The 15,764-nt window shown below is 39.8% G+C and overlaps 2 annotated features.

The window, feature by feature from the left end:
* Positions 6,962-7,256: an enhancer, noted in NCBI's record as "tiled region #9674; HepG2 Activating non-DNase unmatched - State 24:Quies, and K562 Activating DNase unmatched - State 5:Enh". NCBI's record gives its function as "activates a minimal TATA promoter and a strong SV40 promoter by Sharpr-MPRA in HepG2 and K562 cells {active_cell/tissue: HepG2 | K562}" and the evidence as "EXISTENCE:reporter gene assay evidence [ECO:0000049][PMID:27701403]".
* Positions 9,417-9,496: an enhancer, noted in NCBI's record as "active region_13043". NCBI's record gives its function as "activates an Ori minimal core promoter by ATAC-STARR-seq in GM12878 lymphoblastoid cells {active_cell/tissue: GM12878}" and the evidence as "EXISTENCE:reporter gene assay evidence [ECO:0000049][PMID:35858748]".

Genomic DNA, 15,764 nt, shown 5'->3' on the forward strand with positions numbered 1-15,764 from the left:
TAGAGCACCTTTTCATATACCTGTTGATTATTTGTATATCTTTTTTTTTTGTTTTTTCTGAGATAGAGTCTCATTCCGTCACCCAGGCTGGAGTGCAGTGGCATGATCTCGGCTCACTGCAACCTCTGCCTCCTGGGTTCAAGCAATTCTCCTTCCTTAGCCTCCCGAGTAGCTGGGATTACAGGCATGCGCCACCATGCCTGGATAACTTTTGTGTTTTTAGTAGAGATGGGGCTTCACCATGTTGATCAGGCCAGTCTCAAACTCCTGACCTCAAGTGATCCCCTCACCTCGGCCTCCCAAAGTGCTGGGATTACAGGCATGAGCCACTGCACCTGGCTTGTATATATTCTTTAAAGAAATGTCTATTCAGATATTTTGTCCATTTTTAAATTGAATAATTAGATTTTTTTCCTATTGAGTTGTGTGAGCTCCTTATATATTCTGGATATTAATCCCTTGTTAAATGGATAGCTTGCAAATACGTTCTCCCATTCTGTGGGTTGTCTCTTCACTTTGTTGTTTCCTTTGCTGTGCAGAAGCTTTTGAACTTGAAGTGATCCCATTTGTGTATTTTTGCTTTGGTTGCCTGTGCTTGTGGAGCATTACTCAAGAAATCTTTGCCCAGACCAATGTCCTGTAGAGTTTCCTCAATGTTTTCTTAAAGTGTTTTCATAATTTGAGGTCTTAAATTTAAGTGTTTACTCCATCTTGATTTGATTTTTGTATACGGTGAGAGATAAGAGTCTAGTTTCATTCTTCTGCATATGGATATCCAGTTTTCCCAGGACCATGTATTGAAGAGACAGTCCTTTTCCCAATGTGTGTTCCTGGCACTTTTGTCAAAAACGAGTTCACTATAGATGCATGGATTTATTTCTGGATTCTCTATTCTTTTTTTTTTTTTTTTTGAGATGGAGTCTCACTCTGTCGCCCAGGCCAGGCTGGAGTGCAATGGCGCAATCTTGGCTCACTGCAACCTCTGCCTCCCAGGTTCAAGCGATTCTCCTGCCTCAGCCTCCTGAGTAGCTGGGATTACAGGCGTGCACCACCACGCCCAGCTAATTTTTGTATTTTTTTTTTTTTAGTAGAGACGGGATTTCACCATGTTGGTCAGGCTGGTCTCGAATCCCTAACCTCGTGGTCTGCCTGCCTCGGCCTCCCAAAGTGCTGGGATTACAGGTGTGAGCCACTGTGCCTGGCCTGGATTCTCTATTCTTTTCCATGGTCTATGTGTCTGTCATGCCATTACTGTGCTGTTTTGATTACTATAGCTCTGTAGTACAATTTGAAGTCAGGTAATGTGATTCCTCAAGTTTTATTCTTTTTGCTCAGGATAGCTTTGGCTACTCTGGTACTTTTGTGGTTTCACGTAAATTTTAGGATTTTTTTTCTATTTTGGAGAACAACGTCATTGGTATTTTAATAGAGATTACATTGAATCTGTAGATTGCTTTGGGTAGTATGCACATTTTTAACAATATTGATTCTTCCAATCCGAGAACATGAAATATCTTTCCATTTTTTTGTGTGTCTTCAACTTCTTGCATCATTGCTTGATAGTTTTCATCGTAGAGCTCTTTCACTTCTTCTTCCTTTTTTTTTTTTTTTTTTTTTTTGAGACAAGGTGGTCTCTCTCTGTTGCCCAGGCTGAAGTATGGAGTGCAGTAGTATTATCATAGCTCACTGCAATCTGAAACTACTTTGCTCAAGTGATCCTTCTAACTCGGCCTCCTGAGTATCTGGGACTACAAGCATGCACCACCACACCCAGCTAACTTTTTTACTTTTAGTAGAGATGAGGTCTTGCTATGTTATCCAGGCTGGTCTTGAACTCCTGGGCTCAAGTGATCCTCCCACCTTGTTCTCTCAAATTGCTGGGATTATAGGGATGAGCCACCATGCCCATTTCACTTCTTTGGTTAAGTTCATTCCTAGATATTTTATTTTATTTTTAGCTGATATAAATGGGATTACTTTCTTAATTTCTTTTTCAGATTGTTCAATATTGACATATAGAAATGCTACTGATTTTTGTATGTTGATTTTGTATCCTGCAACTTCACTGAATTTGTTCATCAGTTCTTTTTTCTTTTTTTTGTTTTTGAGACAGAGTCTTACTCTGTCGTCTAGGCTAGAGTGCAGTAGCACGATCTCAGCTCACTGCAGCCTCCACCTCCCAGGTTCAAGCAATTCTCCTGCCTCAGCCTCCCAAGTAGGCGGGATTACAGGCACACACCACCACAGCCAGCTAATTTTTGTATTTTTAGTAGAGACAGGGTTTCACCATGTTGGCCAGGCTGGTCTCAAACCCCTGACCTTAGGTGATCCACCTGCCTTGGCCTCCCAAAGTGCTGGGATTACAGGTGGGAGCCACTGTGTCTGGCTGTTCATCAGTTCTAATAGTTTTTTGGTAGAGTCTTTAGGTTTTTCCAAATATAGGATTCTATTATCTGCCAACAAGGATAATTTAACTCTTCCTTTCCAATTTGGATCCCCTTTATTTCTGTGTTTTATCTGATTTTTCTAGCTAGGACTTCCAGTACTATGTAGAATAACAGTGGTGAAAGTGGGCATCCTTGTCTTGTTTCAGATCTTAGAGTAAAGGCTTTCAGTTTTTCCTCATTGCCTATGACACTAGCTGTGGGCCTGTCATATATGGCTTTTATTATCTTGAGGTATGTTACTTCTATACCCAGTTTTTTTTAGGGTTTTATCATGAAGGGATGTTGAATTTTGTCAAATGCCTTTCTGCATCAGTTGAAAGGATCGTATGGTTTTTGTTTTTATTCTGTTGATATGATGCATCATATTGATTGATCTGCATGTTTTGAACCATCCTTGCATCTCTGGGATAAATTCCACTTGGTCATGATGAATGAAGTTTCAATGTGTTGTTGAATTTGGTTTGTTAATATTATTTTGAGGATTTCTGCATCAAGATTCATCAGGGATATTGGCCTGTGGTTTTCTTTATTTGATGTATCTTTGTCTAGTTTTGCTGTCAGGGTAATAATGGCCTTGTAGAATGAGTTTGGAGATATTTCCTCCCCTATTTTTCAGAATAGTTTGAGTAGGACTGGTATTAGTTCTTTAAATGTTTGGTAAAATTCACGAGTGAAGCCATTAGGTCCTAGGCTTTTCTTTACTGGGAGACTTTTTATTATGGCTTTGATCTCATCACTTGTTATTGGTCTGTTCAGCTGTTGGATTTCTTCGTGGTTCAATCTCAGTAGGTTTTATGTGTCTAGGAATTTATCCATTTCTTCTAGGTTTTCCAATTTATTGGCAGAGAGTTTCTCATAGTAACCTCTAATGATCCTTTGAATTTCTGCAATATTAGTTGTAATATCTCTTTTTTTATCTCTGCTCTTTTCTGGTTTCCATTTGCATAAAGTATCTTTTTCCATCTCTTCATTTTCAGTCCATGTGCGACTTTATATATGAAGTGTGTTCCTTGTAAGCAACAGATCATTGGGTTTTGTTTTTTAAGATCTATTAATATTCAGCCACTCGGTATCTTTTGATTGGAGAATTTAGTCCATTTACATTCCATGTTAAGAATGAATTTCTGCCATTTTGTTGTTTGTCTTCTGGTTATTTCATAGTCTTCTCTTCCTTTTTTCCTTTCTTCCTGTCTTTCTTTTAGTAAAGGTGATTTTCTCTGGTGGTATGTTTTAATTTTCTGCTTTTCATTTTTTGTGTGTGTTTTTTTATTTGAGGTTACCATGAGGCCTGCATATATAACTAGTCTTATAACTGATTATTTTAAGCTGATAATAGTGATTGCATAAACAAACTAATAAGCAAAGAGAAAACTAATAAAAACTCTACACTTTAACTCCATCCCCTACTTTTTAACTTTTTGTTGTTTCTATTTATGTCTTATTGTACTATGTCTTGAAAAGTTGTTGTGGCTATTTTTGATAGGCTCATCTTTTAGTCTTTCTACTCAAGATATGACTAGTTTACACACCACAATTACAGTGTTATAATATTCTGTTGTTTTCTGTGTTCTTACTATTACCAGTGAGTTTTGAACCTTCAGATGATTTCCTATTGCTCATTAACGTCCCTTTCTTTCAGATTGAAAAACTCCCTTTAGCATTCCTTGTAAGACAGGTCTAGCATTGATGAAATCCCTTGGCCTCTTTTTTTTTTGTCTGGGGTACAGTGGAGGAGTCTTTATTTCCCCTTCATGTTTAAGGTATATTTTTGTTGGACATACCATTTTAGGATAAAAGGTTTTTTTCTTTAGCACTTTAAATATGTCACACCACTCCTTCTTGGCCTGTAAGGTTTCCACTGAGAAGTCTGCTGCCAGATGTATTGGAGCTCCATTGTATGTTATTTGTTTCTTTCTCTTGCTGCTTTTAGGATCCTTTCTTTGTCCTTGACCTTTGGAAGTCTGATTATTAAATGTCATGAGGTAGTCTTATTTGGATTAAATCTGCTTGGTGTTCTATAACTTTCTTGTACTTGAATATTGATATCTTCTCTAGGTTTGGGAAGTTCTCTGTTATTATTCCTTTGAATAAACTTTCTATTCTGATCTCTCTATTTACCTCCCCTTTAAGGCCTATAACCCTTATTTGAACTTTTTGAATTACAGATGCTTGGTATCCAACTGGTCCACATTAAATCCAGAAAGCATCTAGGTAATGCAAGAGATGTCGTAGAACCTAAGAGAAAAGAATCTCAAGAAAGAAAATGTGACAAAAGTGTTAATTGCTTCAGTGAAATCAAATAAGTGTCCATTTGTTTTGACAATATGGAAGTAACTGGTGCTCCCAGTGAAAACATTTTTGGTAGAATGCTGTCTTAGTTCATTTTGTACTGCTATAACAGAATATCTGAGATTGGATAATTTATAAAGAACAGAAATTTATTTCTTACAGTTCTGGAGGCTGGGGAGTCCAAGATTGAAGGGCCTATATCTGAAGGGGGCCTTCTTGATGCATCATCCCATCATGGAAGGCAGAAGGGCAATAAAGCATGTGAGAGAGAGATGGGAAGAGGGCTGAACTTATCCTTTTATCAGAAATCCATTTCCACAATAATGGCATTAATCCATTCATGAGGACTGAGCTCTCATGACCTAATTACCTCTTAAAAGTCCCACCTCTCAACACTTTTGCATTGGGGATTAAGTTTACAACACATGAACTTTGGAGAACACATTCAACCCATAGCAATTTGTGTCAGTAGAAACCAGATTACAATAATTGAAGAAGAAAAGGAGAGGTAAGGGGACTGCTTCAGTGGGAAATGAACTTGATGTAATAATTACTTCCAAGTAGGGTGACCAATTGTCCCCATTTGCACAGAACTGAGGGGGTTTCTAGGATACTGGATTTGCGTGCAAAAGCTACAAATCAGGACAAGTTGTTCATGCTACCTCCAAGTACACTATCAGGCAGGCTGCTCTAGAGTTCATAAAAGAGACAGGGTGAGAGAAAATTGCAAAGACGCTGGAATCACAAGGTTTATTTATGTTTTCTTTTCTTTTTTGAGACAGGGTCTTGCTCTGTCACCCAGGCTGGAGTGCAGTGGTGTCATCATGGCTCATTGCAGCCTCATCCTCCTGGGCTTAAGCAATCCTCCCACCTCAAACTCCCTAGTAGCTAGGACTACAGGCACACACTAGCATGCTCAGCTAATTTTTTGTTTTTATTTTTGTTTTAGAGACAAGGTCTCGCTATGTTGCCCAGGCTGGTCTTGAACTCCTGGGCTCAAGCAGTCCTCCCACCTCAGCCTTCCAAAGTGCTAGAATTACAAGTTTGAGCCACCATGTCCAGCCTATGTGTAAATTTTAAACACAAAGCAAGAAGCAAGTGGAAACTGAGATAAGTTATCACACTAAGGATAGGATCCAAGTTGGATGTAAGAGCCATACAAAAAAAATCCTGAGTCACACAATGTTCATATCCTATCTCTCTCACCTACAAAGACACATCAGAATTTCCTACTGATGGCATGGTCTGATGCAGTGACCAGAGTCAAGGGTGAGCAAGGAGACTCAGCAAATTGAAGGTGCCTGAAGCCAACACATGCTTCCTCTTTCAAAGAGATGGAGGACAAGGAGCCTGTGCACAACTGAAATTCACCAATGAAGTGCTGAGGAGCTGTGGATTTATCTGCATATCTTGGACAGAGGTCACCTGGGGCAAGAATAGCTGTCACGATTCAGCAGCTGATTTAAATATGACATAGCTGTCATTCAGGAGGATACATGATCTGTGATTTTACTAATATTTTAGGTTTACTTGGTCCTTCTATCCTTTCCTATCTACAAGTAGCACACTTGGTATTTCCATTCTTTTAATCTATGCTTACCAAACATATGTTCTGTATATGCTATTTATGTTTAACCTAAAAGATTTCTAACTTAGTACATTTGCTATCATTCCTCAACATGTTTTATGAGTGTCACCTATTGTTCTACTTGTTTGTTTCTCTTGTTAATTTCAGAAGAATTGAATATTCTCAAATACTACAGAAAAATCACATTATAGAAGTAACGATAGCATAAATAGACTTTTTGTACTCAACACTTGGCTGTAATGGAAAAGAGAAAAAAAAGTTATTTGCTATAGGGATTTACAGAATCATGGGAAGCTTAAAAAAAAAGAAGCTGAAGATAAAGAACAGCCAGAGACAGAAGTTAATTGATGAAGCATGATTACTGAGAGAGAATAAAAGGTGGAGGGAGAATTGGTAGGAGATCGTATTCTCTTACAGGAGAAGAGGGAAGGAATAATGGGTGGCAATGCAAATATGTATCCAGTGGTGGGTGGGATTCACCAGGTGTGTTTCAGTTTACTTTGTGAAATAATTTGGCTCTTAAATAAGTACTTCCAGGCACTGGTTGATTGATTTACAAATGTTTACTTTTTATTAAGTGTGGTGTGGTGGCCTTGTAATGTATTGACTTGGCTAAGCTGAACTACGTTTTCCACAATTTTGTTTCTTGTATGTTTCTGGTTATGGTGGGCCATGAGGGAGATTCTTGTGAGATTCAGAAAGCAGATGGGAAGCTGCAGTCATTTTGTAGCTCACACACATTGTTGCTGATCTGCTGACTCACCTCATCAGCATGAAGCGGCAGCTGGGCCTGCTCTACCTTCCACTGGGTTTTCCCTCAGCTTCCCTGACTCCTGGGCCTGGTGTGTGTGTGTTTAGTTCCATGAGGTTGGGTCCCCACTATCAACACCAGAAGGAATATGAACTGACATGAGTTTCAATTTGTCCTGCTGGGTTCTAGTTCATGCTGTGGGTTCCAGTCTTTTCTTGATCTTCCTCACTTTATATCCATTGTCGCTTTCCAACTCTCTGCCCTCTGGACTTCAAGCTCCAGTACCAGATGAAAGGACTACAGTCTTACAGAGACTCTTTAACCAGTTCCAACGTTTGTGGAAGGCTGTATTTCTATGAAATAATATCCTCAGATCATGCCTGACTTTATGTTAATGATATCACTCAGGATAGGGGCTGGACATGCCACAAAAGCCATCCATGTGACTGGAGGGTTGGGGCTTTGAGCAATGTGGATATCAGCCTGACTTCTGACCTCTGACCCCCAGGAAGGAGCAGGGGGCTGGAGACTGAATTCGATCACACTGCCAATGATTCAACCAATCATGCCTACAAAATAAAACCCAAATAAAAACTCTGGACATGAAAGCTAGGGGAAACTTCCAGGTTGATAATCATACATCAGTGTGCCAGGAGGATGACAGGTCCTGAGCATAAAGAAGCTTTGAATTTGGGACCCTCCCAGACTTTGCTCCCTGCACCTTTTCATTTGGATGTCCCTGGTTTGTGTCTTTTATAATGAAACACTAAGCCTAAGTATAGTGCGTGCCTGCATTCTGTGAGTTGTTCTGGTCCATTATTAAACCTGAGGAGTTAGTGGGAATCCCTGCATTTGTGGTCAGTTGGTCAGAAGCACCGGTGGCTCAGGAACCCTGGAACATATAACAGCTGGTATCTGGGGTAAGAGGCATCCTGTGAGTGGCTGTTCCCTTAACCTGTGAAATTTGACCTTACTCCAGGTCAGGATTGTATTGCAAAGAGAAAATAATGTATGGATCCCCTTGTAGGCATCACCTAGCTTCAATAATAATCAGCTCATGGCCAAACTTGTTTCATCTATAACCCCTCCCATTTTCCTTTCATCATTATCCCTCAGCCCTCTTACCTGCATCACTAGATTACTTTGAAGTAAATCACTGACAAATCATTTTGTCAGCAAATCACTGATATTTGTTCATACATATTAAAGCAGATATCTCTAAAACAAAAGACCGCTTCCCCTCCCACTTTTTTTTTTTTTTTTTTTTTTGAGACAGAGTCTCACCCTGTCACCCAGGCTGGAGTGCAATGGCGCTATCTCTGCTCACTGCAACCTCCACCTCCCAGGTTCAAGCGATTCTCCTGCCTCAGCCTCCTGAGTAGCTGGGATCACAGGCGGGCGTCACCACGCCCGGCTAATTTTTTATATCTTTAGTAGAGATGGGGTTTCACCATGTTGGCCAGGCTGGCCTCGAACTCCTGACCTCATAATCTGCCTGCCTTGGCCTCCCAAATGCTGGGATTACAGGCGTGAGCCACCGCGCCCGGCCTCCCCACCTTTTTTTTAAGAGACAAGTTCTCACTCTGTTGCTCCCAAGATGGCAGATTGGAGGCAGTGTTAGCATGCCTCTTCCACTTGGAAAGACAAGATAGTGTGTAGAGACTCACACACTGTGAACTTTTCTCCTAGAAGCAACACAGGAACTTAACAGGAGAACTGAAAGAAGCCACTGACCCTTTGAAAGAAGCACTGGGCTGCAGCCTACACCATAAGCCAGTGGAAAACTAAGTTCCCCAGAGTGAAAGAGGAATAAATTGCCTCTGGAACATACACTCCCACTTGGGAATCTGGCAATAGAGGCCCATGAGGGAAGAACTTAACCCTATCCAGCAATGGAGCTGATTTTAGTGAGCAGTGGGGAATGTATGAGAAAAAGCATCATTGGGACGGGCTTTGCATGCACTCCCAGGCTCCAGTGAGGATGGAGGGAAGACATTCCCGACCCTACCTCACAGAGGACTGTGCAGAAATCTGCCAGCTAACTCAGACAGCAGTCACAGGTTGGCAGAAGTTCCCAACTGGGTTCACAATATAATGCCGAATGGGGACAAACCCCCTTGGGCAGAACCAAGGAGTGACTGGGAAATGTGCTGCAGCCACGGGTGCAGGAGCTGGGCGCCCCTGCTTCACGGGCAGACTGGGAGGGGCGTGGCTTGAAAGCATTGGTTGTTCTCTCCTTCAGGAAGGCTTATGGCATGGGGCAGTCTTGAGTTCTGAATGCGGACTGCCTGGATTCTAACGAGCTGCTGCAAGCGGAACCCTGCGGGTGAGGGACCGGCCTTGCCAAGTGCATGGGCGCTGGTGGGGCTTACTGCCGCCTGCTACTCCCCAACCCCTGTAGAGAGACTTCTGTGCAGCAGAGGCAGCTGCACCCCTCCCTGCAACATTACCCCTGCGGCCAGAAAAATGCTCTCTGACCCCCACAGGGGCCACTGCTTACCCCGCATGTGGGGAGCCACAGCGTGAACCTGCCTGATCCAGCCGCCACCTGGCTTTGCTCCTTCACTTGCTCTGGTAGCTTAACACAAAGGACAGAAATTTTTTGGCGCTCTATGGCCCCACCCATTACCTGAGTCACCAGAGTACCTCCCCTGGGTAACATGAGGCAAGCACAAATCCCACTGCTACTACGGCAGCTGGTGCTCTTTGGCAAGCGCCACCTTCTGGCTGGAGGCCAATTGACAGTCCATTACAGCATCTCCAAGTAGTGTAACACTGCACCAAGGAAGGAGAAAACTTGTGCATGACCTCAGCTGTCACCATTGCCTGCATCGTTCTGGCTAACCAGGGGGTCCTGAGTCTGTCCACATGACCAATTCATTACTACTACTACTGGCATTTGAGAAATCTTTACCAGACAAAGAATTCAAAAGGTTGATCATTAAGCTACTCAAGGAGATATAAGAGAAAGGTGAAAAACAACATATAGAAATTTAAAAATCAATTCAGGATATAGATGAAATATTTTCTAAAGAGATAGATTTTTTTAAAAAATCAACCAGAACTTTTTGAAATGAAGGACACATTTAGGGATTTAGGGAATTACAAAATGAGCTGGAAAGTTTTAACAATATTCTAGACCAAATAGAAGAAAGAATTTCAGAGCTCTAAGACAAGGCTTTCAAATTAACCCAATCAGACAAAAATAAAGAAAAAAGAATTAATAGAAATGAATAAAGCGTCCAAGAAATATGGTATTATGTAAAATGGACAAGTATAAGAACTATTGGTGTCCCTGAAGGAGAAGAAAAAGCAAAAAAAAAAAAAAAAAAAAAAAGTGAAAAACTTCTTTGAGGGAATAATTGAGAAAAACTTCCCTGTCCTTGCTGGAGATTTAGACATCCAAATACAAGAAGCTCAAAGAAGTCCTGGGAGATTCATTGCAAAAAGGATATCACCAAGGAACATAGTCATCAGACTATCTATAGTCAGTGTGAAGGAAAGAATTCTAAGAGCAGTGAGTCAAAAGCATCAGGTAAGCTATAAAGGGAAACCTATCAGACAAATAGTAGACTTTTCAGTATAAAATTTACAAACCAGAAGGAATTCGAATCCTATCTTTAGCCTTCTTTTTTTTTTGAGATGGAGTCTTGCCCTGTTGCCCAGGCTGGAGTGCAGTGGTGCAATCTCAGCTCACTGCAACCTCCACCTCCCAGGTTCAAGCAATTCTCCTGCCTCAGCCTCCTGAATAGCTGGGAATACAGGTACATGCCACCAAGCCCAGCTAATTTTTGTATTTTTAGTAGAGACGAGGTTTCACCATGTTGGTCAGGCTGGTCTCGAACTCCTGACCTTGTGATTCACCTGCCTCAGCCTCCCAAAGTGTCTTTAGCCTTCTTAAATGGAATAACCCTCAGCCAAGAATTTTGTATTCAGTAAAATTAAGTCTTATAAATACAGACAAAATAAAGTCTTGTTCAGATAAGCAAATGGTGAGGGAATTTGTCACTATCAGACCAGCCCTACAAGAAATGCTCAAAGGATTTCTAAAGCTTGAAACAAAAGGTTGATATAAACCAGAACAGAACCTCTTGACACATAAACCTCATAGGGTCTATAAAACAATAACACAATGAAGAAAACAAAATATCTAGGTAACAATCAACATGATGGCTGGAACAGTAGCTCACATCTCAATATTAATGTTGAATGTAAATGGTCTAAATGCTCTACTTTAAGGTATAAATGGGCAGAATGGATAAAAAATCACAAACCACATATCTTCAGTCTTCGAGAGACTCACCTAACACATAAGGATTCTTATAGATTCAAGGTAAAGGAGTGGCAAAAAATATTCTGTGCAAAAGAAAACCAAAAGTGAGCAGAAGTATCTATTTTTATGTTAGATAAAACAGACTTTAAAGCAAGAACAATAGAAAAAAGACAAAAAAGTCATTACATAATGATAAAAGGATGAATCCAACAAGAAGATACTATAATCCTAAATACATATGCACCTAACTCTGGAGCTCCCAGATTCATAAAACTATTACTTCTAGATCTAAGATGAGAGATAGACAGTAACATAATAATGGTAGGGGACTTCAACACTTCACTAACAGTCCTAGACAGATCATTGTGGCAGAAGGTCAACAAAGAAATGCTAGTCTTAAACTACACTCCAGAACAAAGGGACCTAACAGGTATTTACGGAACATTCTACCCAAGAACTGCACAATATACATTCTTCTTATCAGCACATGGAACATTCTCCAAGATAAACCATATGACAGGCCACAAAACAAGTCTCAAAAAACTTTAAAAAATCAAAATAATGTCAAGTATCTTCTCAGACTACAGTGGAATAAAACTAGAAATCAACTCCAAAAAGAGCCTTCAAAACTATACAAATACATGGAAATTAAACAATCTGCTGCTGAATGATTTTCGGGTTAACAATGAAATTGAGATAGAAATTTAAAAATTATTCAAAATGAATGATAATAGTGATACAGGGTATCAAAACCTCTGGAATACAGCAAAAGCAGTGCTAAGGGGACAGTTTATAGTACTAAATCCCTATATCAAAAAGTCTGAAAGGTCACAAATTGACAACCTAAGATCACACCTTAAGGAACTGAAGAAAGAAGAACAAACCAAACCCAAAACTAGCAGAAGAAAAGAAATAACAAAGATCAGAGAAGAACTAAATGAAATTGAAACAAAAATTACAAAAGATTAATGAAACAAAAAGTTGGTTCTTTGAAAGGAGAAATAAAATCAATACACCATTAGCTAGATTAACCAAAAAGAGAGAAGATTCAAATTAGCTCAATTAGAAATAAAAATGGAGACATTACAACCAACACCACAGAAATACAAAAGATCATTAGAGACTACTATGAACACCTCTATGCACAAAAACTGGAATATTTAGAGGAAATGAATAAGTTCCTGGAAACATACAACCCTCCTAGCTTGAATCAGGAAGAAATAGGAATTCTGAGCAAACCAATTACAAGCAGTGAGATTCAATCAGTAATAAAAAATTACCAGCTAGGCATGGTTGCTCATGCCTGTAATCTTAGCACTTTGGAAGGCAGAGGCAGGCAGATCGCTTGAGCCCGGGAGTTAGAGACCAGCCTGGGCAACATGGCGAAACCCCATCTCTACAAAAAAATACAAAATTTAGCCAAATGTGGTGGTGCACGCATGTAATCCCAGCTACTCGGGAGGCAAAGGTTGGAGGATCACTTAAGCTTTGGGAGGTCATGGGTGCAGTGAGCTGTGATTGTGCCACTGTACTGCAGCTTGAGCAAAAGGTGAGACCCTATCTCAAAGAAAAATAATTACCACCTAGAACAAAAATACCCAGGGCCAGATGGATTCACAGCTAAATTCTACCAGATATTCTAGAAGAATTGATACCAATCCTACTGAAACTATCCTAAAAGATTGAGAAAGAGAGCCTCCTCCCTAACTCATTCTACAAAGCCAGTATCAGCCTGATACCAAAACCAGAAAAGGACATAAAAAGAGAAAACTACAGACCAATATCTTTGATGAACATAGGTGCAAAAATCCTCAACAAAGTGCTAGCAAACTGAATCCAACAGCACATCAAAAATAGAATTCACCATGATAAAATGAGTTTCATTCCAGGGATGCAGGGATGGTTCAACATACACAAGTCAATAAATGTGATTTATCTCATAAACAGAATTAAAAACAAAAACGATGTGATCATCTCAATAGACTCAGAAAAAGCATTTAATAAAACCCAGCATCACTTTGTGATAAAAAACCCTCAACAAACTAAGCATAGAAGGAACGCATCTCAAAATAATAAAAGCCACATAGGACAAACCCACAGTCTACATCATACTGAAAGGGGAAAAGTTGAAAGCATTCCCCCTAAGAAATGGAACAAGACAAGGATGCCTACTTTGACCACTTCTGTTCAACGTAGTACTGTAAGTCCTAGTCAGAGCAATCAAGCAAGAAAAGGAAATAAAAAGCATCCAAATTAGAGAAGAAGTCAAACATCTGTTTGCTGATGACATGATCATAAACCTAGAAAATCCTACAGACTTCACCAGAAGACTTCTAGATTTGATAAACAAACTCAGTAAAATCTCAGGTTACAAAATCAATGTACACAAATCAGTAGCACTGCTAAACACCAACAATAACCAAGCTGAGGATCAAATCAAGAACTCAATATCTTTTACAATTGCTATAAAAAAATGAAATGCCTAGGACTATACTTAACCAAGAAGGTGAAAGATCTCTACAAGAAAACTATAAAATGCTGCTGAAAGAGATCATAAATGACACAAACAAATGGAAATACATCCCATGCTCATGGTTTGGATAACCAATACCATGAAAATGATCATACTACCCAAAGAAATCTGCAGATTCAATGCAATTTCTATCAAAATACCAACATCTTTTTTTGCAGAGCTAGAAAAAAACCATCCTAAAATTCATATGGAACCAAAAAAAGAGCTCGAATAGCTAACACAATCCTAAGCAAAAAAAAAAAACAAATATGGACGCATCACACTATCCAACCTCAAATTATACTACAAGGCTATAGTAATCCAAACAACATGATACTGGTATAAAAGTAGACACATAGACCAATGGAACAGAATAGAGAACCGAGAAATAAAGCTGAATACTTACAAGTAATTGATCTTTTGACAGAGCATACAAAAACATAAATCAGGGAAAAGACATTCTATTCAATAGATGGTGCTGGGACAACTGGATAGCCACATGTAGAAGAATGAAATGGACCCCTATCTCTCACTATCTACAAACATCAGCTCGAGATGGATAAAAGACTTAAATCTAAGACATGAGGCCAGGCGCGGTGGCTCACGCCTGTAATCCCAGCACTTTGGGAGGCCAAGGCGGGCAGATCACGAGTTCAAAAGATTGAGACCATCCTGGCTAACAAGGTGAAATCCCGTCTCAACTAAAAATACAAAAAGTTAGCCGGGCGTGGTGGCGGGTGCCCGTAGTCCCAGCTACTCGGGAGGCTGAGGCAGGAGAATCACTTGGACCTGGGAGGCGGAGGTTGCAGTGAGCCGAGATCGTGCCATTGCACTCCAACTTGGGCAACAAGAGAGAAACTCTGTCTCAAAAAAAAAAAAAAAATCTGAGACCTGAAACCTGAAACCATAACAATTTTAGAAGAAAACCTAGCTAAAATAAAACCATAACAATTTTAGAAGAAAACCTAGCTAAAATATTTCTGGACATTGGCTTAAACAAAGAATTTATGACTAAGACCCCAAAAGTAAATGCAACAAAAATAAAAATAAATAAATGGCACCTAATTAAACTAAAAAGCTTCTTCACAGGAAAAGAAATAATCATCAAACAGACAACCCATAGAATGGGAGAAAATATTTGCAAACTATGCATCTGACAAAGGACTAATATGCAGAATATACAAGGAACTCAAACAAATTAGCAAGAAAATAAAAACATAATCCCACTAAAAAGTGAACAAGTGACATGAAAAAACATTTCTCAAAAGAAGATACACAAATAGCCAAGAAACATGTGAAAAATGTGCAACATCACTAATCATCAGAGAAATTCAAATTAAAACCACAATGAGATACAACCTTACCCCAGCCAGAATGGCCATTATTAAAAAGTCAAAAAACAATAGATGTTGGTGTGGATATGGCGAAAAAGGAACACTTATATGCTGCTGGTGGGAATGTAAATTAGTACAACCTCTATAAAAACAGTACGGAGATTTACCAAAGTGATCTATTTCTTTTTTTAAAAATGTATTTATCTTAAGAAAAACAGATGGGGGTCTCACTATGTTGCCCAGGCTGGTCATGAACTTGTGGGCTCAAGTGATCCACCCACCTCAGCCTCCGAAAGTGCTGGGATTACAGGCATGAACCACCACACCCATCCAAGTAGATCTATTTCTGTTTTATTTTATTTTATTTCATTTTATTTATTTATTTTTTGAGACAGAATCTCACTCTGTCACCCAGGCTGGAGTGCAATAGCGCAATCTCGGCTCACTGAAACCTCCACCTACCGGGCTCAAGTGATTCTCTTGCCTCAGCCTCCTGAGTAGCTGGGATTACAGGCTTCTGCCTCCACGTCTGGCTAATTTTTGTATTTTTAGTAGAGACAGAGTTTCACC

The sequence above is a fragment of the Homo sapiens genome, chromosome 18 (assembly GCF_000001405.40).
Source record: "Homo sapiens chromosome 18, GRCh38.p14 Primary Assembly".
NCBI classification, from domain to species: domain Eukaryota; kingdom Metazoa; phylum Chordata; class Mammalia; order Primates; family Hominidae; genus Homo; species Homo sapiens.